At 49.9% G+C, this 20577-nt stretch overlaps 1 protein-coding gene, 1 long non-coding RNA gene and 4 other non-coding genes across 20 annotated transcripts, besides 12 other annotated features; 1 reads left to right on the top strand and 5 right to left on the bottom strand.

Annotated features, from left to right (window-relative positions):
• On the bottom strand, positions 494-6338 carry AURKB (aurora kinase B). Of its 15 annotated transcripts, none has more exons than NM_001313951.1 (9): positions 5940-6012; positions 5717-5818; positions 3501-3603; positions 3334-3388; positions 2939-3130; positions 2513-2651; positions 2254-2402; positions 979-1153; positions 494-807 (listed from the first exon to the last, which is right to left on the bottom strand). In NM_001313951.1, the coding sequence occupies exons 3-9, from the start codon at positions 3526-3528 to the stop codon at positions 634-636; spliced, it is 912 nt and encodes a 303-aa protein (NP_001300880.1). In that variant the 5' UTR covers positions 3529-3603; positions 5717-5818; positions 5940-6012; the 3' UTR covers positions 494-633. The 15 variants fall into 15 exon arrangements, 13 of the variants coding, with proteins under 13 accessions (NP_001300880.1, XP_047293007.1, XP_011522374.1 ...); NR_132730.2 differs by lacking the exon at positions 5717-5818 and adding an exon at positions 6293-6338 and having other exon boundaries at positions 497-807; positions 3081-3130; NM_001313950.2 differs by lacking the exon at positions 5717-5818 and adding an exon at positions 6293-6338 and having other exon boundaries at positions 497-807; positions 5940-5988.
• Positions 5570-6229: an enhancer, noted in NCBI's record as "H3K27ac hESC enhancer chr17:8113125-8113784 (GRCh37/hg19 assembly coordinates)". NCBI's record gives its function as "activates a minimal SCP1, AML or CMV promoter by ChIP-STARR-seq in naive H9 embryonic stem cells {active_cell/tissue: H9 hESC(naive)}" and the evidence as "EXISTENCE:reporter gene assay evidence [ECO:0000049][PMID:30033119]".
• Positions 5791-5840: an enhancer, noted in NCBI's record as "active region_11684". NCBI's record gives its function as "activates an Ori minimal core promoter by ATAC-STARR-seq in GM12878 lymphoblastoid cells {active_cell/tissue: GM12878}" and the evidence as "EXISTENCE:reporter gene assay evidence [ECO:0000049][PMID:35858748]".
• On the bottom strand, positions 16393-19806 carry LINC00324 (long intergenic non-protein coding RNA 324). The gene is made up of 3 exons (NR_026951.1): positions 19575-19806; positions 18056-19037; positions 16393-17272 (listed from the first exon to the last, which is right to left on the bottom strand). It is a non-coding gene; the product is annotated as a long intergenic non-protein coding RNA 324 (long non-coding RNA).
• Positions 16461-17347: an enhancer, noted in NCBI's record as "NANOG-H3K27ac hESC enhancer chr17:8124016-8124902 (GRCh37/hg19 assembly coordinates)". NCBI's record gives its function as "activates a minimal SCP1, AML or CMV promoter by ChIP-STARR-seq in primed H9 embryonic stem cells {active_cell/tissue: H9 hESC(primed)}" and the evidence as "EXISTENCE:reporter gene assay evidence [ECO:0000049][PMID:30033119]".
• Positions 16632-16703, bottom strand: TRW-CCA1-1 (tRNA-Trp (anticodon CCA) 1-1). The gene has a single exon. It is a non-coding gene; the product is annotated as a tRNA-Trp (tRNA).
• Positions 16980-17129: an enhancer, noted in NCBI's record as "active region_11685". NCBI's record gives its function as "activates an Ori minimal core promoter by ATAC-STARR-seq in GM12878 lymphoblastoid cells {active_cell/tissue: GM12878}" and the evidence as "EXISTENCE:reporter gene assay evidence [ECO:0000049][PMID:35858748]".
• On the top strand, positions 17311-17382 carry TRG-TCC3-1 (tRNA-Gly (anticodon TCC) 3-1). The gene has a single exon. It is a non-coding gene; the product is annotated as a tRNA-Gly (tRNA).
• Positions 17640-17779: an enhancer, noted in NCBI's record as "active region_11686". NCBI's record gives its function as "activates an Ori minimal core promoter by ATAC-STARR-seq in GM12878 lymphoblastoid cells {active_cell/tissue: GM12878}" and the evidence as "EXISTENCE:reporter gene assay evidence [ECO:0000049][PMID:35858748]".
• On the bottom strand, positions 18001-18072 carry TRD-GTC2-11 (tRNA-Asp (anticodon GTC) 2-11). Its single transcript has one exon. It is a non-coding gene; the product is annotated as a tRNA-Asp (tRNA).
• Positions 18040-18109: a silencer, noted in NCBI's record as "silent region_8176". NCBI's record gives its function as "represses an Ori minimal core promoter by ATAC-STARR-seq in GM12878 lymphoblastoid cells {active_cell/tissue: GM12878}" and the evidence as "EXISTENCE:reporter gene assay evidence [ECO:0000049][PMID:35858748]".
• Positions 18160-18359: an enhancer, noted in NCBI's record as "active region_11687". NCBI's record gives its function as "activates an Ori minimal core promoter by ATAC-STARR-seq in GM12878 lymphoblastoid cells {active_cell/tissue: GM12878}" and the evidence as "EXISTENCE:reporter gene assay evidence [ECO:0000049][PMID:35858748]".
• Positions 18570-18619: a silencer, noted in NCBI's record as "silent region_8177". NCBI's record gives its function as "represses an Ori minimal core promoter by ATAC-STARR-seq in GM12878 lymphoblastoid cells {active_cell/tissue: GM12878}" and the evidence as "EXISTENCE:reporter gene assay evidence [ECO:0000049][PMID:35858748]".
• On the bottom strand, positions 18596-18667 carry TRP-CGG1-3 (tRNA-Pro (anticodon CGG) 1-3). The gene has a single exon. It is a non-coding gene; the product is annotated as a tRNA-Pro (tRNA).
• Positions 18682-19423: an enhancer, noted in NCBI's record as "H3K27ac-H3K4me1 hESC enhancer chr17:8126237-8126978 (GRCh37/hg19 assembly coordinates)". NCBI's record gives its function as "activates a minimal SCP1, AML or CMV promoter by ChIP-STARR-seq in naive H9 embryonic stem cells {active_cell/tissue: H9 hESC(naive)}" and the evidence as "EXISTENCE:reporter gene assay evidence [ECO:0000049][PMID:30033119]".
• Positions 18682-19589: a biological region, named in NCBI's record as "H3K27ac-H3K4me1 hESC enhancer GRCh37_chr17:8126237-8126978".
• Positions 18970-19099: an enhancer, noted in NCBI's record as "active region_11688". NCBI's record gives its function as "activates an Ori minimal core promoter by ATAC-STARR-seq in GM12878 lymphoblastoid cells {active_cell/tissue: GM12878}" and the evidence as "EXISTENCE:reporter gene assay evidence [ECO:0000049][PMID:35858748]".
• Positions 19350-19589: an enhancer, noted in NCBI's record as "active region_11689". NCBI's record gives its function as "activates an Ori minimal core promoter by ATAC-STARR-seq in GM12878 lymphoblastoid cells {active_cell/tissue: GM12878}" and the evidence as "EXISTENCE:reporter gene assay evidence [ECO:0000049][PMID:35858748]".

Raw genomic sequence — 20577 nt, forward strand, 5'->3', positions numbered from 1 at the left:
GTAACCTCATGTCAGGAACAAGACAGAATCACTGCTGCTTCTATTGGCTCCTGTACTAGATCCTGACCAGAGCAGTGAAATAATCAAAGACAGCTTCTAGGGTACAGAACTGTTTAGTTGCTCCTACGTTGGCAAAGGGGCAGAGAATGAAACAGAAAAGGAAAAACTAGAAGTTGGACAACCAAGAGAGAGGTGAAAGAAGGTGGCCAGAGATGGCTGGTGTTCCAATGTAGCAATGGGGAGCCAGGGCCCCCAGTGCCCCTGGGCTGTGGGAGTCTGAGCAACGGAAAGAATAGACAGTGAGGGTAGAGGTGGAAGTGGGGGTAGGGGTTGGGGTGGCTGGGAGCTGACCAGGTGGGTGTCAGAGCTGAGAGGGTAGGGTGTTACCAGGGATAGCAAAGTAATGCTCATCCCGGCTCCTCAGGGTGAGCCAGCTCTCCTTCTAGGGAACAGCTTCCTCCACAGCAAAGCCTCCACCTAGAAACATCTACACTCATGAGTACAAAAAGCTTCAGCCTTTATTAAACAAAGGAGGAGGTAGAAAACAGATAAGGGAACAGTTAGGGATCCCTTCTTTCCCCTATACATACACAGACATACAAACACACGCACCCGAGTGAATGACAGGGACCATCAGGCGACAGATTGAAGGGCAGAGGGAGGCAGCACCCTCCGAGAGTTGGCCCGGACCCAAGGGTGGGCTGAGACCTGGGCCAGGGGCAGCCGTTCCGAGGGGTTATGCCTGAGCAGTTTGGAGATGAGGTCCTGGGCTCCCATGGGCACGGAAGCGGGGAACTTTAGGTCCACCTGCAGGTGTGAAGAGATGGAAGGGCTGCATTAGTTTCACCCTGGCTACATCTTCCTTGACTACCCATTCTGTTTGGAGTTACTTAGGGCCATGCAAATACACTCTGCCCACCCCCAGCCCCCCAGCTCCTGGCTTCAGCAGCTGGCACGAAGCCCAGGCCGCCCTCCCACCTTGACGATGCGGCGATAGGTCTCGTTGTGTGATGCACTCTCAAAGGGTGGGTTCCCCACCAGCAGCTCATAGCAAAGCACTCCAATGCACCACAGATCCACCTTCTCATTGTGCATGCGCCCCTCAATCATCTCTGGGGGCAGGTAGTCCAGGGTGCCACACATTGTCTTCCTCCTGGGAGGGATAAGGGGCGTGGGCAGGGGTCCTAGTGACATAGGAACTCTCCTTTCCCTGCTGCCTGACGGCTGGGAGCCAAAAGACCACGGGATGTACCAGGGGAGAGGTCCAGCCAGGCAAGGCCACTGGAGTGGGGGTGGGGTTGGGGTGATGATATATCCCAAAGCCCCAGAGGTGAGCCTGCACACAGCCCAGCAACTCCACACTGAAGGATATATCTTAATAAGATACCCTGATATGAGGGCAGTGTTCATTTGGAGTTCACTGGGGACATCTCTAATGCCCATCAGGCATGTTCTGGTTAAATAAATCAGCTACTATGTGATACTATGAAACCATTAAAAAGTGATGTGGGAGGAAAAAAGGCCACTGCTCCGGGCTTTTTTTGAGAGAGTCCAGGCTGGAGTGCAGTGGGGCGATCTTGGCTCACTGCAACCTCTGCCTCCCGGGTTCAAGTGATTCTCATGTCTCAGCCTCCCGAACAGCTGGGATTACAAGTGTGCACCACCATGTCTGCTTAATAAATTTTGTGTTTTTAGTAAAGATGGGGTTTCATCATGTTGGCCAGGCTGGTCCGCTGGTCTTGAACTCCTGGCCTCAAGTGATCCACCCGCCTTGGCCTCCCAAAGTGCTGGGACTGGTAGGCGTGAGCCACCGCGCCTGGCCAAAGTTTTACCATTGGCCCCTACAGGGATCAAACCTGCGACCTTGGGGTTATTAGCACCACACTCTAACCATTTTTTTTTTTTTTTTTTGAGACAGAGTCTCGATCTGTCACACAGGCTGGAGTGCAATGGCGTAATCTCGGCTCACTGCAACCTCCGCCTCCCAGGTTCAAACAATTCTCCTGCCTCAGCCTCCCCAGTAGCTGGGATTACTGGCGTCCGCCACCATGGCCGGCTAATTTTTGTATATTTAGTAGAGACAAGGTTTCATCATGTTGGCAAATCTAGTCTCGAACTCCTGACCTCAGGTGATCCGCCCTCCTCGGCCTCCCAAAGTGCTGGGATTACAGGTGTGAGCCACGGTGCACGGCCCCTGGAGAGGTTTTAATGGCCCAGCCTCACACCCAGGTCTGGCCTCCCAGGCCACCATACCTCAGGGAGGGCGCATGCACAGACCAGCCGAAGTCAGCAATCTTCAGCTCTCCCTTGAGCCCTAAGAGCAGATTTTCTGGCTTTATGTCTCTGTGAATCACCTTCTTCCCATGGCAGTACATTAGAGCATCTGCCAACTCCTCCATGATCTGGGAGGGGCAACGACAGGCAATCAGACAAGGATGGACCTCCAGCTACAAGCAGCACACCCTCAGCCTCGAGCCCCCTACTGGCGCCCCAGGTGCCCACCCGCCCGGACCGTGGCTGTTCGCTGCTCGTCAAATGTGCAGCTCTTCTGCAGCTCCTTGTAGAGCTCCCCGCGGGGGGCATACTCTAGAATCAAGTAGATCCTCCTCCGGTCATAAAAATAGTTGTAGAGACGCAGGATGTTGGGATGGCTGGGGGAAGAGACAGAGGAGGCCTCAGGCCAAAGGCATAAAAGAGCTGGAAAAGATGATAGGAGCAAACTGGGGTCAGACGTGGCCCAGGCCGGGGACACCAGGGCTGGGAGTGGTAAGGGGAAACTGGAGGCAGATTTCTGGATTCAAGGCTTGCCAGGACTAAGAGCTAAATGGGGCTCACTAGCCATAGCTACAGAGAAAGCAATCTGGATGAAGTGGGGCTGAATGAGGAGCTGGGGGTGAGGGAGCAGAGGGGCTTCGGCTCAGGGGGCATCAACCCATACTGCAGGTGGGCCTGGATTTCGATCTCTCTGCGCAGCTGATGCTCCACGCCCTCCTTCTCTATCTGGGACTTGAAGAGGACCTTGAGCGCCACGATGAAATGGCTTTTCTTCTCCCGAGCCAAGTACACGTTTCCAAACTTGCCTTTGCCCAGAGGACGCCCAATCTCAAAGTCATCAATTGTGAAGTGCCGCCTGCTTAGAAAGTGGAGGAAGGCAACTCAGAACCGGTTTTGGTTATTAAGAGGTTTGCTTTCTCTCTGCTTCCTCATCCCATCCTGTCCTCCGCCCCACTTGTCTTCATCCCTACTCCTCCCGTGCTTAGGTTTTATCTCCCCGACTTCCTGCCTGTTCATTGTCCCCTCACCCCCGTCCACCCCCAGGCTTGGGGCACTTACGTTAAGATGTCGGGTGTCCCACTGCTATTCTCCATCACCTTCTGGCCAGGGGCAGCTAAGGAGAGAACAGGTAGGTTGAATGCGAACAGGGATGACCTTCTCATCCCTAAACCCTCCCACAGACGGTCATCTCCCCAGCTCAGTCCTCTCCCCCTTGCGCCAGTTACCTGTGGGCTGGACATTGGAGCGGCTCATGAGGACAAGTGCAGATGGGGTGACAGGCTCTTTCCGGAGGACTCGCTGGGGCAGGGTGCTCAGGCCAGATGGAGCCTGAGAAGGAGCAGGGGGTAGCTCTGAGGGTGCCTTTGTCTGATGACCGGGGTGGAATGTGCTGCAAGCAGTATTTCAGCCCCTTGCTAAAGAGCCACCCACCCACCTACCCCCAATTCAAAGAGAAACACTGATGTGACAGTTTTGCTTCCCAGCCTCTGCTCATAGTCCCATATTAAAATGGGTTATTAATAAACAACCTAGGGCTGGGCGCAGTGGCTCCCGCAGTCAGGAGTTCAAGACCAGCCTGGCCAACATGGTGAAACGCCATCTCTACTAAAAATATAAAAAATTAGCTGGGTGCGGCTGGGCGTGGTGGCTCATGCTTGTAATCCCAGCACTTTGGAAGGCCGAGGCAGGCGGATCACAAGGTCAGGAGTTTGAGACCAGCCTGGCCAACACAGTGAAACCCCATCTCTACTAAAAATACAAAAATTAGCTGGCCGTGGTGGCACGCTCCTGTAATCCCAGCTACTCAGGAGGCTGAGGCAGGAGAATCGCTTGAACCTGGGAGGCACAGGTTGCAGTGAGCCGAGATCGTACCATTGCACTCCAGCCTGGGCAACAGAGCTAGACTCCATCTCAAAAAAAAAAAAAAAAATTAGCCAGGTGTGGTGGCAGGCGCCTGTAATCCCAGCTACTCGGGAGGCTGAGGCAGGAGAATCGCTTGAACCTGGGCGGCAGAGGTTGCAGTGAGCTGAGATCGCACCATTGCACTCCAGCCTGGGCAACACAGTGAGGCTCCGTCTCAAAAAATAAATAAATAAATAAATAAATAAATAAATAAATAAAAAATAAATAACCTAAGTAGGCCTAAGATAAGGGGCAAAGGACTCACACCAACACCTAACATTTCACTTCTTTGGCCCTGGCCCACACTTTTCAGGCATGAAGCTGTTCAACCTGTATAAGTCCTGTCCATAACAACACAGTCATTCATCCAGCCCCTCACTTACACCACAGTAGAGAGCTGCGTCAATGAACACCCACAATTCAAGGGGTTTAGCACAGAGGTATTCTCAAAGTCTCCTAAAAAGCTTAGTTTATTAAGGCTTAGATAAGATGCTTGAGGCCTTGAATGTTATAGCAATAACCAGGATTTACACTTTTGCAAGAACAGGCTTTAAGGACACTAAGAGCTACCCTGATGGCCCTGGACCACTTCTCACTTTCAACTTCTTCATTTTTTTTTTTTTTTGAGATGGAGTCTCGCTCTATTACCCAGGCTGGAGTGCAATGGTGCCATCTCGGCTCACTGCAACCTCCACCTCCCAGGTTCAGGCAATTCTCCTGCCTCGGCCTCCTGAGTAGGTGGGATTACAGGCACATGCCTGGCTAATTTTTGTATTTTTAGTAGAGACGGGGTTTTACCATGTTGGCCAGGCTGGTCTCGAACTCCTGACCTCAGGTGATCCACCTGCCTCAGCCTCCCAGTGCTGGGATTACAGGCGTGAGCCACCTACCTGGCCTCACTTTCAACTCTCAAAATAATAGGTACATTTTCTTTTAGGAGTGACTAAGGTAAAAGTGACAATGGTTTCTCATTCAGACTCCATTCCTGACAGCCTCACTCAGTGCTCCATGAGGGAGGGAGCTGATGTACAAGGGAACAGACAGACTCTCCAGGAAGCAAGAGCTCCAAAAACAGGGAGCAAAGCCTGTGCAGGGCCCCTTCCTTCTTCTGCAGCCAAGAGAAGAAAGCCCCTAGGCCCCAAATAGTGATATTGGTACCAATCTACAAATAAGCAAGTTGAATAAAATACAGTCCAGAAATAGACCCACATATATGTGGGAATTTATATATATAATAAAGGTGGCATTTCAAATCAGAGAGGAGGCCCTTCAATGAAATCTGTCTGGACCATTGGGAAATAAGTCAATTTAGATCCATTTAGATTCTTACCTCAATTTAGTCATTAATTCCAAATTGTAATTTAGACTTGCCCTGGGCCTTTTAAACTGTAACTTTATATCCTTTTAGAGTCTATTTCTATTTGCTGTCTAGTTTTTTTTTTTTCAGGATATGGATTGGGAATCATGGCCTGAAGGCCAGGCCCTGCCTGCTCAGTCCCAGATATCATTTGTATGTGACGAGCCCTGCAGAGGTCCTCACCAGCTGGGAGTCACTGGCTGGTCAGATTCACGTTGGCAGCACCTGACAGGATGTGGCTACAAATGACCAGAGCGGGTTCTGTCGTCAAACTTGGGACCCGTACTTTGGAGCATAACGGGGAAGAAAGTGCTTAAAGGATTGCTCATTGCAGGATCTCAAGTTTCCCAGCAGGAACTCGCCATGCGGGGTCATGGGGGCGCAGGGACGGAGGGAAGGGCCTTACCGTCTGTCGGCCGTAGGGCCAGGGGTAGGAGTTCTCCTTCTGGGCCATCCTTAGAGAGAAAGGGGGAGGAGAGCTGGGCGGAGAAGGGAAACAGCCGTGAGAAGCAGAGAAAAAGAGAGAGAGAGGGAGGGGTTGGACCGATCGAGCCGGAAGCGCTAGCCCGAGCTGGTAAAAGGGAGCAGGTCAGCACACTAGCCCCAATCTGGGCGCTGGTCTCACCGCCCCCGCCCTGCTATCGTCCCTACCTCCTTCCAGCCCTGCGGCGTGCGCGCAGGCCAGCCCAACGGACCCTCTGATCTACCTGATCATCTGCCCACTCCCGGCGCAAGGCCTGCGACAGGAGGCCAGCTCACCTGGGGTCCAAGGCACTGCTACTCTCCCGGCCGCCCGCAAACAACTGAATCTGCCACGCCGCGCCCTGGCCAAGGACTTTTCAAATCTCCCGCCCCGGCCCCATTGGGCAAGCTCGTCGCCCATGCCTAGTTCCCATTGGCTCGATGTCCTGTGACGTAAGTCATGGGAACCCAATGGAAGAGGCGGAATGAGAAGGGCTCACGCTTGGCTTCCAGTTTAGGAAAGTTTCCCCAAATTCCCCCAGTGAATTATCTTGCTTTTTCTTTTCTTTTTTTTTTTCCTTTTTTGAGACAGGTCTCTCTCTGTCGCTCAGGCTGGAGTATAATGGTGCTATCTGGGCTTGCTGCAACCTCTGCCTCCCGGGTTCAAGCGATTCTCGTGCCTCAGCCACCCGAGTAGCTGGGATTACAAGCGCCCGCCACCACGCCTGGCTAATTTTTGTATTTTTATTAGAGACGGGTTTTCGCTGTGTTGGCCAATCTGGTCTCGAACTCCTGTCCTCAGGTGATCCACCCGCCTCGGCTTCCCAAAATGCTGGGATTACAGGCGTGAGCCACCGTGCCCGGCCTTCTTCTTTTTATAAAAAAAATTAAATCTTTAATGTAACTGGAGTTTATCCTTATGCATGTATGAGCTGGGGTCTAACTTCTCTGCCCGATGGAGCGCCAGTTATGTCAACACCATTTGTTAAACAAACTGCCCCAACAGAATTTAAATGCTGCCCTTGATATATAATGTTAGCATATTTACTTGTGTCTATTTCTAGACTTTGTATTCCGTTGTTTGCTCATTTGCCTGTGTGTTTATTCTTGTGTCATTACTATGTCGTTCTTAAAAGTTCTGACATTCCTGGGAGGAGTTTTTCCACCAATAGACCTTTCGTTGCAAGATCTCTGTTAGCTGCCGTGTTGTTTGGGCCCACTTTCATTTTTCCTCCTTCCTGCCACACTTCCTTCTTTTCTGCTCTTCCTAACCCTCAGATTTCATTACTGGGTTAAATAAATACATTTTTGGGCCTTCTATGAAATAACCAGTGGATATTTATTAAGTATGTACTGTCCAGCACTCTTCTCCTTTCTTCTAACACTCTATTTTTCCTTTAGGGGACCACCTGTCTCTCCAGTCTATGCAGTCGGTTTCTGTAGTAGTTTCTGTTGCTGACAACCCCAAATCCCTAGGTTGATGAAGACCTATTTAAATCTCACTTTTTTTTTTTTTTTTGAGATGAAGATTCGCTGTGTTGCCCAGGCTGGAGTGCAATGGCACAATCTCAGCTCACCACAACCTCCTCCTCCAGGGTGCAACTGATTCTCCTGTCTCAGCCTCCCGAGTACCTAGGATTATAGGTGCATGTGACCACGCCCGGCTAATTTTTGTATTTTTAGTAGAGACGGGGTTTCATCACATTGCTCAGGCTGGCCTCAGGTGATCCGCCCGCCTTGGTCTCCCAAAGTGCTTGGATTACAGGCGTGAGCCACTGCGCCCAGCTTTATTCCCACTTCTGAAAGCACTTAGAGTTTTGAGGATTTGAGAAGGAAACTGACTTCATTGCAGGTCCAGAAATGAGCCCCAATTAACTTATACTAATCAATACCTTTTATTCCAGATTATGGTTATTGGATCAGGCATAAGCCTGTGATTTAAGTGGGCCAGCTAGTGGGAATCAGTTTCTTGCTCAGAATGCTGGGCAGCTCAAGGAAACACTTAACGTTTACTGGTTTATCATAAAGTGTATTACAAATGATATAGATGAAAAGATGTATAGGGCAAGGTATGGAGGAAGAGATTTCTGGAAGTGAGCAGGGAAGCATGCAGCCCTCATTGCTGCTTCTAGTGCTACTGAAGGAAGCAGCTTGACATTGAAGCCTAACATTGCAGAAGGCAGAAGAGAGGCCTGGAAAGAACTTCAGGACTTGATGACATTGTTGAGCCTCTACATGCCTACGTTAGCACTTTTCTTACATGAACAATAGAGAAGATTATTATTCAGCTAATATCCTTTCTGAATGCATTCTAAATGCTATTTGCTGTTTAAGCATATTGTGTAGAAAAAACAAACCATGGCTAGGCTTGGCGGCTCACGCCTGTAATCCCAGCACTTTGGGAGGCTAAGGCGGCTGTATCACTTGAGCCCAGGAGTTTAAGATCAGCCTGGGCAACCTGTGAAACCCCGTCTCTACAAATAAAAAAAAAAAAAATTAGCCAGTATGGTAGTGTGTGCCTCTAGTCCAAGCTACTTGATAGGCTGAGGCAGGAGGATCAGCAGAGGCCGGAGGTCAAGGCTGTGGTGAGCCATGATTGCACCACTGCACTCCAGCCCCGACATTAGAGTGACACCCTGTCTCAATAAAAACAAAAAATGGGCAGGGCGCAGTGGCTCATGTCTGTAATCCTAGCACTTCAGGAGCCCAAGGAGGGTGGATTGCCTGAGCTCAGGAGTTCAAGACCACCCTGGGCAACATGGTGAAACCCCGTTACTACTAAAATACAAAAAATTAGCCAGTTCTGGCCAGGCGCGGTGGCTCATGCTTGTAATCCCAGCACTTTGGCAGGCTGAAGTGGGTGGATCACGAGGTCAGGAGTTCGAGACCAGCCTGGCCAACACAGTGAAACCCGTCTCTACTAAAAATACAAAAATTAGCTGGATGTGGTGGCAGGCGCCTGTAATCCCAACTACTTGGGAGGCTGAGGAAAGAGAATCGCTTGAACCTGGGAGGCGGAGGTTGCAGGGAGCTGAGATCGCATCACTGCACTCTAGCCTGGGTGACAGAGCTAGACTCCGTCTCGAAAAAAAAAAAAAAATTAGCCAGTTGCGGTGGCGGGTGCCTATAGTCCCAGCTACTCAGGAGGCTGAGTGAGGCACAAGAATTGCTTGAACCTGGGAGTGTTGCAGTGAGCCGAGATCACGCCACTGCACTCCAGCCTGAGCAACACAGCAAGAGTCTGTCTAAAAAAAACAAAAACAAAAAAAGACCCAATTTTTCCTCTGCCCTCACACCACAGCAATCAACACAGGAGACTTCTGCGACCACATGTGTGGAGATTTTACTGCACCACCAAGCAATCAGTTCTGCAATCAAGCAATCTGTTCTGCAGCAGACATCAGCTGGGTGTCTTCCGATTAGATTCTGACACTATCTACCCAGAGAGAGCATCAGATCCCATAGGTTGAGGGCTCAGTCCCACAAGACTGCCCCTCACTTTGGATGCCAACTGCAAGCCTCAGGTTGTTTTTACCTGTACTCATGACTAACTGGGTGTAAGCTAGGGTTCCTACGATTCCCTCTTTATGTTCAATGAATTTGCTAGAGTGGCTGACAGAACTCAGGAAAAAATGTTTACTGGTTTATTATAAAGGATTTTTTTTTTTTTTGAGATGGAGTCTCTCTGCCACCCAGGCTGGAGTGCAATGGTGCAATCTCGGCTCACTGCAACCTCTGCCTCCCGGATTCAAGTGATTCTCCTGCCTCAGCAGGAGAACTCGCCACCACGCCCAGCTGATTTTTGTATTTTTAGTAGAGACGGGGTTTCATTACGTTGGCCAGGCTGGTCTCGAACTCCTGACCTCGTGATCCACCCGTCTTGGCCTCCCAAAGTGCTGGGATTGCAGGCGTGAGCCACCGTGCCCGGCCTTATAAAGGATATGACCAAGGATACAGATGAAGAGATGCACGGGGCAAGGAGGTGGGAAGGGCATGGAACTTCCATGCCCTTCTGAGGTGTGCCGCCCTTCAGGATGCTCCACGGGTTCAGCTCTCAGGAAGCTCTCTCTACCCCATCCTCTTGGGTCTTTTATGGAGACTTCATTAAATAGGTGTGATTGAAGCATGACGACTGTGTAGAAATGTGATTGGACGAAGAGGGTATGATCTAGTACTAATAGGCTGAGTGGGGAAGCCCAGCAAGGCCTGTCTAGATTCTTCCCGGCTTCTCTGTGCAGTATTCCTTCCACCTTCTGAAATGGGGGTCTTATGACCTATAATTGAACAAGATTGTTCAGAGAATTTATTTATGGCCAGCTTCAGGACAGACAGGAAAGAGGTAAGATAAGATATATATATATATATATATATATATACACACACACACACAGTTTGTTTGTTTGTTTTTTGAGACAGAGACTCGCTCTATCGCCCAGGCTGGAGTGCAGTGGTGTGATCTCGGCTCACTGCAACCTCCGCCTCCCGGGTTCACGCCATTCTCCTGCCTCAGCCTCCCGAGTAGCTGCGACTACAGGCACCCACCACCACTCCCAGCTAATTTTTTTATTTTTAGTAGACATGGGGTTTCACCACATTGGCCAGGCTTGTCTCGAACTCCTGTCCTTGTGATCCATCCACCTCGGCCTCCCAAAGTGCTGGGATTACAGGCATGAGCCACTGCACCTGGCCTTTTTTTTTTTTTTTTTTTAAGAGAAGGTCTCTTTTGTCCGAGGCAAGCACTCTTGCTGCACAATCATAGCTCATTGCAGCCTCAGAACAAGTTTGGACTTGGTTACACCAATTTGCTTCTTTAATCTATCAATTTACCTTTAACTGCCGGCACATCAACGTAGTGAAATATACCTCATGTATTTGCATTGCCATTGTCTCTTCTGTGGAGAGGAGGGAGCAGGCAGAGATGGTTGGTCATCAAAGGGGACTTAAGTTTTGCCTTTAATGTTCTAATTTTTTAGAAGGTGTATAGAGTCATGGAACTGTTTGCAGGATTAAATATTAATGACAAATAATCCCTAAAAAGAAGGTGTGGACCAGGCACGGTGGCTCACGCCTGTAATCGCAGCACTTTGGGAGGCCGAGGCGGGTGGATCATGAGGTCAGGAGTTCGAGACCAGCCTGGCCAACATAGTGAAACCCCATCTCTACTAAAAATACAAAAATTAGTCAGGTGTGGTGGTGGGTGCCTATAATCCCAGCTACTCCAGAGGCTGAGGGAGGAAAATCTCTTGAACCTGGAAGGTGGAGGTTGCAGTGAGCTGAGATCATGCCACTGCATTCCAGCCTGGGTGACAGAGCAAGACTCATCTCAAAAAAAAAAAAAAAAGAAAAAAAAAAGAATTGAAAGGAAGTATCATAAATATTCAGAAGCAGCGTTATTCACAACAGCCAAAAGTTGGAAGCAGCCCAAATGTCCATCAACTGGTGAATGAATAAACAAAATGTCATATATCCATAAAATAGAAACTTACTTAGTCCTAAGAGGAATGAAGTACTGATATTTTATTTCATGGAAACCATGAAAACAGTATAAACAAAAGAGGCTAAGCTGAGCACAGCAGCTCATGGCTGTAGTCCCAGCACTTTGGAAGGCTAAGGTGGGCAGATCCCTTGAGCCCAGAAGTTCCAGACCAGCCTGGGCAACATGGCGAAATCCCGTCTCTACAAAAAATACAAACATTAGCCAGGTGTGGTGGTGGGCACCTGTAGTCCCAGCTACTCAGGAGGCTGAGGCAGGAGAGCCGTTGAACCCAAGAGGCACAGGTTGCAGTGAGCCAAGATCGTGCCATTGCACTCCAGCCTGGGCAACAGAGCAAGACTCCGTCAAAAAAAAAAAAAAAAGATAGAAAGTTCACATATTATATGATTGCATTTACATGCGATATCCAGCATAATATCCAGCATAAGCAAATCCACTGGGACAGAAACAGATTAGTGGTTTCCAGAGACTAGGGGAAGGGAGAAGGGGGAATACAGAGTGAGTGCCAATGGTTTCTTTTTGGGGGGGGGGTGATTAAAATGTTCTGGAATTAAATAGTGATGATTGATGCACCACTGTGAGAATATACCAGAAACTCTTAATTGTACACTTTAAAATGGTTAAAATGGTAAAATTTATGTTAAGTATAATTTACCACAAAAAATTATAAAATATCTTTTTTTTTTTTGAGATGGAGTCTTGCTCTGTTTCCCAGACTGGAATGCAGTGGCATGATGATCTCAGCTCACCACAACCTCTGCCTCCTGCGTTCAAGTGATTCTCCTGCCTCAGCTTCCCAAGTAGGTGGGACTACAGGCGTGTGCCACCATGCCCAGCTAATTTTTGTATTTTTAGTAGAGATGGGGTTTCACCATGTTGGTCAGGCTGTTCTCGAACTCCTGACCTCGTGATCCGCCTGCTGCAGCCTCCCAAAGTGCTGGGATTACAGGCCTGAAGCCACCGCTCCCGGCTCTTTTTTATTTATTTATTATTATTATTATTTTGTCTTTTTTTTCTTCCTTTTTGTGGAGAACAGGGTCTCGCTATATTGCCCAAGCAGGTCTCGAACTCCTGGGCTCAAGCTATCCTCCCACCTCTGCCTCCATGAGAGCTGGGATTACAGGCATGAGCCACCACGCCCGGCCTTATTATTATTATTTTGAAATGGAGTTTCACTCTTGTTGCCCAGGCTGGAGTGCAGCAGTGCAATCTCAGTTCACTGCAACCTCTGCCTCCCCGGTTCAAGCGATTCTCTTGCCTCAGCTTCCCAAGTAGCTGGGATTACAGGCGCCCGCCACCATTCTGGCTAATTTTTTTTTTTTTTTTTTTTGAGACACAGTGTTGCTCTTGTCGCCCAGGCTGGAGTGCAATGGGGTGATCTTGGTTCACTGCAACCTCTGCCTCCCAGGATTACAGGCGTGGGCCACCATGCCTAGCTAATTTTTGTATTTTTAGTACAGACAGGGGTTTCCTCATTTTCACCAGGCTGGTCTCGAACTCCTGACCTCAGGTGATCCACCCACCTTGGCCTTCCAAAGTGCTGGGATTACAGGCGTGAGCCGCCACACCCATCCAGGAATACACTTTAAAGGCACTTGTGTGACTGCTATTAAATTAGTCAAATCTTAACACATTTTGCTATATTTGTTTATGATGTTTTTTTAAATGAACTAAAAGGCATACAGGTGGAGTTCCAGTGTAAAATTTCTTTTTTTTTTTTTTGAGACGGAGTGTCGCTCTGTCCCCCAGGGTGGAGTGCGGTGGCGCGATCTTAGCTCACTGCAAGCTCCGCCTCCCGGGTTCACGCCATTCTTCTGCCTCAGCCTCCCTAGTAGCTGGGACTACAGGCACCCGCCACCACGCCTGGCTATTTTTTTTTTTTTTTTTTGTATTTTTAGTAGAGACGAGGTTTCACCGTGTTAGCCAGAATGGTCTCGATCTCCTGACCTCGTGATCCACCCGTCTCGGCCTCCCAAAGTGCTAGGATTACAGGCATGAGCCACCAGGCCCGGTCAGTAAAATTTCAAGAAGTAGGCCGGGCGCTGTGGCTCATGCCTGAAATCCCAGCACTTTGGGAGGCCGAGGTGGGTGGATCACGAGGTCAGGAGATCGAGACCATCCTGGCTAAGACGGTGAAACCCCGTCTCTACTAAAAATACAAAAAAAAAATTAGCCGGGCGTGATAGCGGGTGCCTGTAGTCCCAGCTACTAGGGAGGCTGAGGCAGGAGAATGGCGTGAACCCAGGAGGCGGAGCTTGCAGTGAGCCGAGATCACGCCACTGCACTCCAGCCTAGGCGACAGACAGAGACTCCGTCTCAAAAAAAAAATATTTTCAAGAATTAGGTCTAGGTATATTGTTTCTCTACCATTTTCTTCTGTGGTTGTTATGGATGAAATTGTGTTTCTCCAAAATCCATATGATAAAGCTTTAACACCCAATGTAAATGTATTTCTAGACACAGCTTTAGGGAGGTAGTTAAGGTTAAATGAGGTCATTTGAGTGGAATCCTAATCCTACAGGGCTGGCATCCTTAGGAGAAGAGGGAGAGACTCCAGAGTTCTCTCTTTCCCTGTCGGCACAGAGGAAAGGCCATGTGAGGACACTGCAAGAAGGCGGCATGTAGAAGCCGGCAAGAGAGGCCTCAGCAGACACCAACCCTGATAACATCTTGATCTTGGACTTTGAGCCTCCAGAACAGTGAGAAAATAAATATCTGTTGTTTAAGCCACGCAGTCTACGGCATTTTGTTATGGTAGCCTGAGCAGACTAATACAGATTCTAAGGTCAGTGGAAAACTACAAGCGGAAGCACTCAGTTCAGATAGGACTACTAGTGGCTTAGACCCTTCAGGAACAAGGTTTGGGTCTCCCTACGAGGGAAATAACCAGGACCAGTTGAGGGGCTTGTTGAAGACAATGGGAAGACAAAATGGGTAATAGAAGAAGCTAGTTAGGCCAGGTGCGGTGGCTCATACCTTTATTCCCAGCATTTTAGGGGGCTGAGGCGGGAGGATCACCTGAGGTCAGGAGTTCGAGACCAGCCTGGCCAACATGATGAAACCCCGTCTCTACTAAAAATATAAAAAAAAGGCTGTGCACAGTGGGTCACGCCTGTAATCCCAGCACTTTGGGAGGCCGAGATGGGTGGATCACCTGCACTCTACTGCACTCCAACCTGAGTGACAGAGCGAGACTCCATCTCAAGAAAAAAAAAAAAAAAAAAGAAGCAGCAGCAGCAGCAGCAGCTAGTTATCAGCTACCACTACGTGGCCAGTTAGAGAAACAAGGACTGTAAGTGTATTTCCTTTTTTTTTTTTTTTTTGAGACGGAGCGTCAATCTGTCGCCCAGGTTGGAGTGTAATGGCATGATCTCAGCTCACTGCAACCTCCGCCTCCCAAGCTCAAGTGATTCTCCTGCCTTAGCCTCCTAAGTAGCTAGGATTACAGGCATGTGCCACCATGCCTGGTTAATTTTTTTTGTATTTTGAGTAGAGACGGGGTTTCACCATGTTGGCCAGGCTGGTCTCAAACTCCTGACCTCAGGTGATCTGCCCACCTCGGCATCCCAAAGTGCTGGGATTACGGGCGTGAGCCACCACACCTGGCTGTATTTCTTCTTTATTTTGTTACGAATATATCTGTGTGTGTGTTTCAGCTAATAAATGTACACAAAATGATAGAATTAGGAAATGATCATTTTGCATCTCCTTATGAAATAATTAATGCAGGCAAGGTTTTCTGGTTGCCCTGGCAGTGAGAATGGTGGTGGGACTGCTTGGTAGCCAGCCTCACAGCCAGCTCCGCCTTAGGTCGCCAGAGTTTCTATGCTGTTACCTTGCTCAGGTCATCAGCAGTTCTTCAAGCACCATTTCTGCAAGGACTGGTCAACTGTCTGCCTTTGTCTTGTACATAGTGATACAGTGACACAGAGACAGCTATGGCAGAAGGTGGGCAGGGGCAAGAAAGGGGAAGGAAAGCGGAGCACAGATTTTAACCTGGGCAATGTCTGCTGTGTGGATGGTGGTGAGATGGCCCAAATTCTTCCCCATCAACCAAAGCCAGTCACACTTAGAAAGGTATTGTTAGTGGAGGAGAGAGAGGTGAAGGGAATAAATTTCCCATTGGAAAAGACAAGGCATATAGGGTGGGTGGCCTGGATTTCTTTCTTTCTTTTTCTTTTTCTTTCTTTCTTTTTTTTTTTTTTTTTTTGAGAGAGAGTGTCCCTCTGTCGCCAGGCTGGAGTGTAGTGGTGCCAATCTCCGCTCACTGCAACCTCTGCCTCCGGGGTTCAAGCGATTCTCCTGCCTCAGCCTCCCAAGTAGCTGGGACTACAGGCATGCGCCACCACGCCCAGCTGATTTTTGTAGTTTTTAGTAGAGACGGGGTTTCACCAAGTTGGCCAGGATGGTCTTGATCTCTTGACTTCGTGATCTGCCCGCCTGGGCCTCCCTAAGTGCTGGGATTACAGGCGTGAGCCATCCCATCCCACCGGTTTTGTTTTTCAATATACTGGAAGCAGCCAAAATGCACGTGGTCCTGGGCTTCTAGTGACTGCTGGGAAGTCTGGAGAAAGGTAATATTTGTATTTAATATCCTTGTGTTCAGTGTTAAGTAAACATACCTAGAACAGCAGAGATTATTAAAAACATTTAAAAAGGCCGGGCACAGTGGCTCACGCCACTAAAATACAAAATTATCCGGGCGTGGTGGTGCATGCCTGTAATCCCAGCTACTCGGGACGCTGAGGCAGGAGAATCCCTTTGAACCCGTGGGCGGAGGTTGCGGTGAGCCGCGATAGTGCCATTGCATTCCAGCCTGGGCAACAAGAGAGAAACTCCGTCTCAAGGGAAAAAAAAATACAAACAAAAAATAATAATTTAAAAAATTATTTAACAATTTCCATACAACAGGGAATTTTTTTATTTTTAAATTTATTTTTACTTTTATAGACCTTAGGGATACATGCGCAGTTTTGCCACAGGGATATATCACATAATGTTGAAAGTCTGCACCCAACTTCTGAATAACGTTCATATTTGTCTCATTCCCCTCCTATCCTTCTACTGAGGAGGCTTTTTTTTTTTCCTATCCTGAAAAATGTCACCGTAGGTCTATTTGATTAGGGAAAACAATGTTTTGTTTGACCCCGACGTGATTTGAACACGCAACCTTCTGATCTGGAGTCAGACGCGCTACCGTTGCGCCACGAGGCCTGTCCAACAGCGTGACTTGATGGGTCTGTTGAGCAGCAATAACGGGCGGACTTTTGTCATGAAGCCCCACCTTTAAGATTTGTCAGCGCATTTCTCTGAGGCACCAGCTGACGAGATGTGGGCGCATGTACGTAGGAATTAAATTCATCCTCTGGATAAATAATAGAGAGGCAAGTTGCGTTTAGGCGCATTTGGCTTAAGGCCCAATTCCTTAACTGGAATCACATTGAGCTCGTTGAGCTCACTCTACAGAGAAGCCATTTTTATGTGTCTAGGCCTTTTTTTTTGTTTTCTGGAGATGATAAATCATGGTGTCGCTGCAGTTCTCGCCCCCTGGACAAATCTTAGACGTAATCCCAGCTCTGCCGGTGACTCAGCTTCCCTGGATCTTGGTTTCCTCGTCTGTAGACTGGGCATAACCCTACAGGTTCATGTGGGGTGGGTGGCGCGCGCTAGCGGTGAAGGTCACTCACAATTGCGCGCTGGGCAGACGACGGCAGCCATTACTTTTACCTCGATCGCTGTTTTCCTGGATCCGCACGGGTCCAACCCGACTCATCCCAACCAACCTGAGGTATGAAAACCAGGAAAGAGAGCTAGCACCGGAGCGTTGGTGGTATAGTGGTAAGCATAGCTGCCTTCCAAGCAGTTGACCCGGGTTCGATTCCCGGCCAACGCAAGTCGTTTTGGGTGTTTTTTCCCCCCCCCGCCTTTTCCTTTTCGTGTTTTCTGGGCCCCAGCATCGTTGAGGGTTTTCGTGAGGTTTTCCTGAGGAAACTTCCGCTCCGAAAGGACCCACTTTCCGCTACACCCGCGACCACGGCTGGACCACCGCGCTCCTGACGGATGCGCCCTGCAAGCCCCTCCAGGCGAGAGCAGCGCGTCGGAATCTCGGCCCGGGGTTGCCTACTGTTCCCGGATCGCAGTGCGAATCCACAAAAAGCAGGGAGGCGAAAGGAAACAAAAGCCCGGGCTCTGCACCCTGGACGGCTGGGGGCCAAAGCTACTTGCCCAGGTTCAAGCAGAGACTGGAAATGCGCACTTCCGTCAAGGAGGGAGCAAGCTAGGCCAAGTCTGAGCGCTAATGAGCATACTGAGCAGAGCAGATAATGGCCACTTTAGGTACACGTTTGAACTCTAAGTTGCTTGAAGTAAAATGGAAACTTAGAATGCGAGCTGGAGAGGAAGGCCAAACTCTCCTCCCCTCCTCCTTTCCCTCTTTTTTATAGCTCCATCCCAGGGACCAGGACGGATTTAATGAAAGCAAAAAGATAGAAGTTTCAAAACTGCTAGTACTCTCCCCGTCGGGGAATCGAACCCCGGTCTCCCGCGTGACAGGCGGGGATACTCACCACTATACTAACGAGGAGGGACCTGTAGAGACCTTTCTCCGAATCCTTGATCTGAGACTTTACACTCTGCGTGCTGACAGCAGGGTTCCTAGGGGTTCTGTTCTTCCAACCACTGATAAACGCTGACCAGAAACCGTAGGTGTATTTCAGGCACCAATCGTCAGATGGAGTGACCGAAAGAGACAGAGTGCCTTCAGGACTGCAGAGAACCAAGTTTTGACAGTTCCTGGGCTCTCCCGAACACTGTCATCCACAACTATAGATTGACGCGTGTCAATCAAAGCGAAACCAGGCTGTGGTGGCCGAGTTGAGACACCAGGAAGGAAGTCAGGAAGCAGAAAGGGAGGGACCTGCCCAAGTCTGGGCGTGCCTCGTCTCTTCCTGACATGCCAGGCGGGTCTGGGGATTGAGATGCTTTCTGCTACCGCGGTGCCACAAAAGAGCTTACTGTACATTGATGACTTACAGTCAAGCCTCCTGCAGCGCTGGTCAGGTAACCTATTCCTTGAAGACACTCTTGTCTCAGTAAAAGGTAAAGGAGGGCTCGTCCGGGATTTGAACCCGGGACCTCTCGCACCCGAAGCGAGAATCATACCCCTAGACCAACGAGCCGACGTGCGGACGTTGCCGCGAACCGCCTTAGAGGTCGTGCCAGGCTTGCTGTAGTGCTGGGTCCACTATGCATGGCGGAACGGTCCGGGCGCACGCTCACGGACCAGCCTCCCCCAGGCCGAGTATTTTGGAGCACTGGGCTGGGAATCTCTTGGCTCCGGGCCGCGAGCTCCGGCTCCTCCCAGGAAATAGCGTCAAGGAAGTGGGAGGGAGTGGCCTCGGCCTCGCCCCCGCGCCGCCTTGCACGACTGCCTTGAACACCCGGGTTGTTGCTTCCTTTGGTTACCGACTTGGTGCCATTCCGTAACCTGGGATCTTGACACTTCCTGCCTCCGCCTGCGGTCCTTGGACCTAGCTCTTCGTTGCAGAGCTTTGAAGAGAAGCGGTGGAATTGCTTGCTTTCGGGACGGGCAGGAGAAATCACTAGGGGAACACCAGTGCCCCGTGTCTGTCTATCCTCCTGGGCTAACGGGCAGGGCAAACCCTGGGCCAGACCCATCGATAGTCCACGGGTTCCCCAGACCGCATGGCAGTACCCAAGCGAGGGAAAGAGGGAACGATTTCTGGGGCCCAGAAGACCCACGGAAGAGGGCGTTATTGAGCTGGGTGACTGGAGGGGGACAGGCTTTCCACCCTGCAGTGGGGCGGGGCGCAAGGCCAGGCGACTAGTCTCATGGCTTCCGGACTGTAAGATCAGGTTACCCCTACCCTACAGTCTAACCTCTGCTCCCCAGTCCCCTCCTAGAATGGCCTAGAAGGGAGACCCTCCTGCCTGCCTCCTAAGACCCCCCGAAGGCTCTGAGGCACGTGGCCGCATGAATGTGGTCGAAGGCCTGTAGACCCGGTTTGGGGACTTAGCAGTGTCCCCGGGACTGCCCAGTGAGCCTCTGCGCTCTTAAACACTCACCATGCTGCTCTTACTCCGGAGCTGCCCAGAGTCCCAGCAAGATCTGGTGGGGTCGGTAGCAGACCACGTGTCCTGCCTTTCCTCAGCTCAGTGCCTGTTCTGGGGAGTCCTCCCAGCGGGGTTCTGGCCTGCATCGGCCCTGGACCAGCCTGGTGTCATCTGTGGAACCATTTTGTTCTACACCCCAGTTGTGTGATTTGTGGGGCCAGGCCGTTCCTAATGCCCAACCCATAGATACGATGACGGGGCTTTCAGTGAAGGATTCAGCTCCTATTTGTCTTTCCCAGGTTCCCCTGGACAGACAGTGGGGAAGGGCAGCAGAAGTTAGCCCAGCCTTTCCCATTAGTGTCCCAAGTCTTTGAGATGGGTAAAGAGGTTCTCAGGGCTGATCTGGCATCTCCTCCCCCATTCCTACCCTTTTCCAATTCCTGTCTCCCTCCCCTTGGGCCCCAGCTTTCTCTGCAAAATAATCCAGTCACCTCTTCCCTGGCCTCAGGCACTTAAACGCTGCAGAAGGGGAGGCCTAAATCCTTTATGACCCTTATGAAAGCTATGTCCCTCTTCACCGGGCACAGTGGCTCACACCTGTAATCCCAGCACTTTGGGAGGCTGAGGTGGGTGGATCACAAGGTCAGGAGTTCAAGACCAGCCTGACCAAAATGGTGAAACCCCGTCTCTACTAAATATACAAAAATTAGCCAGGCGTGGTGGCGGGCGCCTGTAATCCCAGCTACTCGGGAGACTGAGGCAGGAGAATTGCTTGAACCCGGGAAGCGGAGGTTGCAGTGAGTCAATATTGTGCCATTGCACTCCAGCCTGGGTGACAGAATGAGACTCCCTCCGTCTCAAAAAAAAAAAAAAAAAAAAAAAGCTATGGCCCTCTTCCTAAACATGTATACAATCCAGGGAGTTCACACATAATCCCATCCACATACCCCACACTTTATTTTTTCCTCAGAAAAGTGCGTACATAGACCCCACTTTTAATAACCAAGAACTAACA

This window comes from Homo sapiens, chromosome 17 (assembly GCF_000001405.40).
Source record: "Homo sapiens chromosome 17, GRCh38.p14 Primary Assembly".
In the NCBI taxonomy this organism is placed as follows: domain Eukaryota; kingdom Metazoa; phylum Chordata; class Mammalia; order Primates; family Hominidae; genus Homo; species Homo sapiens.

Coding starts and splice junctions, on each gene's coding strand:
- AURKB (NM_001284526.2), bottom strand. CDS start 5,987: ATGGCCCAGAAGGAGAACTCCTACCCCTGGCCCTACGGCCGACAGACG. Junction 3,389..3,500: donor CTCCAATGTCCAGCCCACAG/GTAACTGGCGCA, acceptor TTCTCTCCTTAG/CTGCCCCTGGCCAGAAGGTG. Junction 1,154..2,253: donor GTGCATGCGCCCTCCCTGAG/GTATGGTGGCCT, acceptor TATCCCTCCCAG/GAGGAAGACAATGTGTGGCA.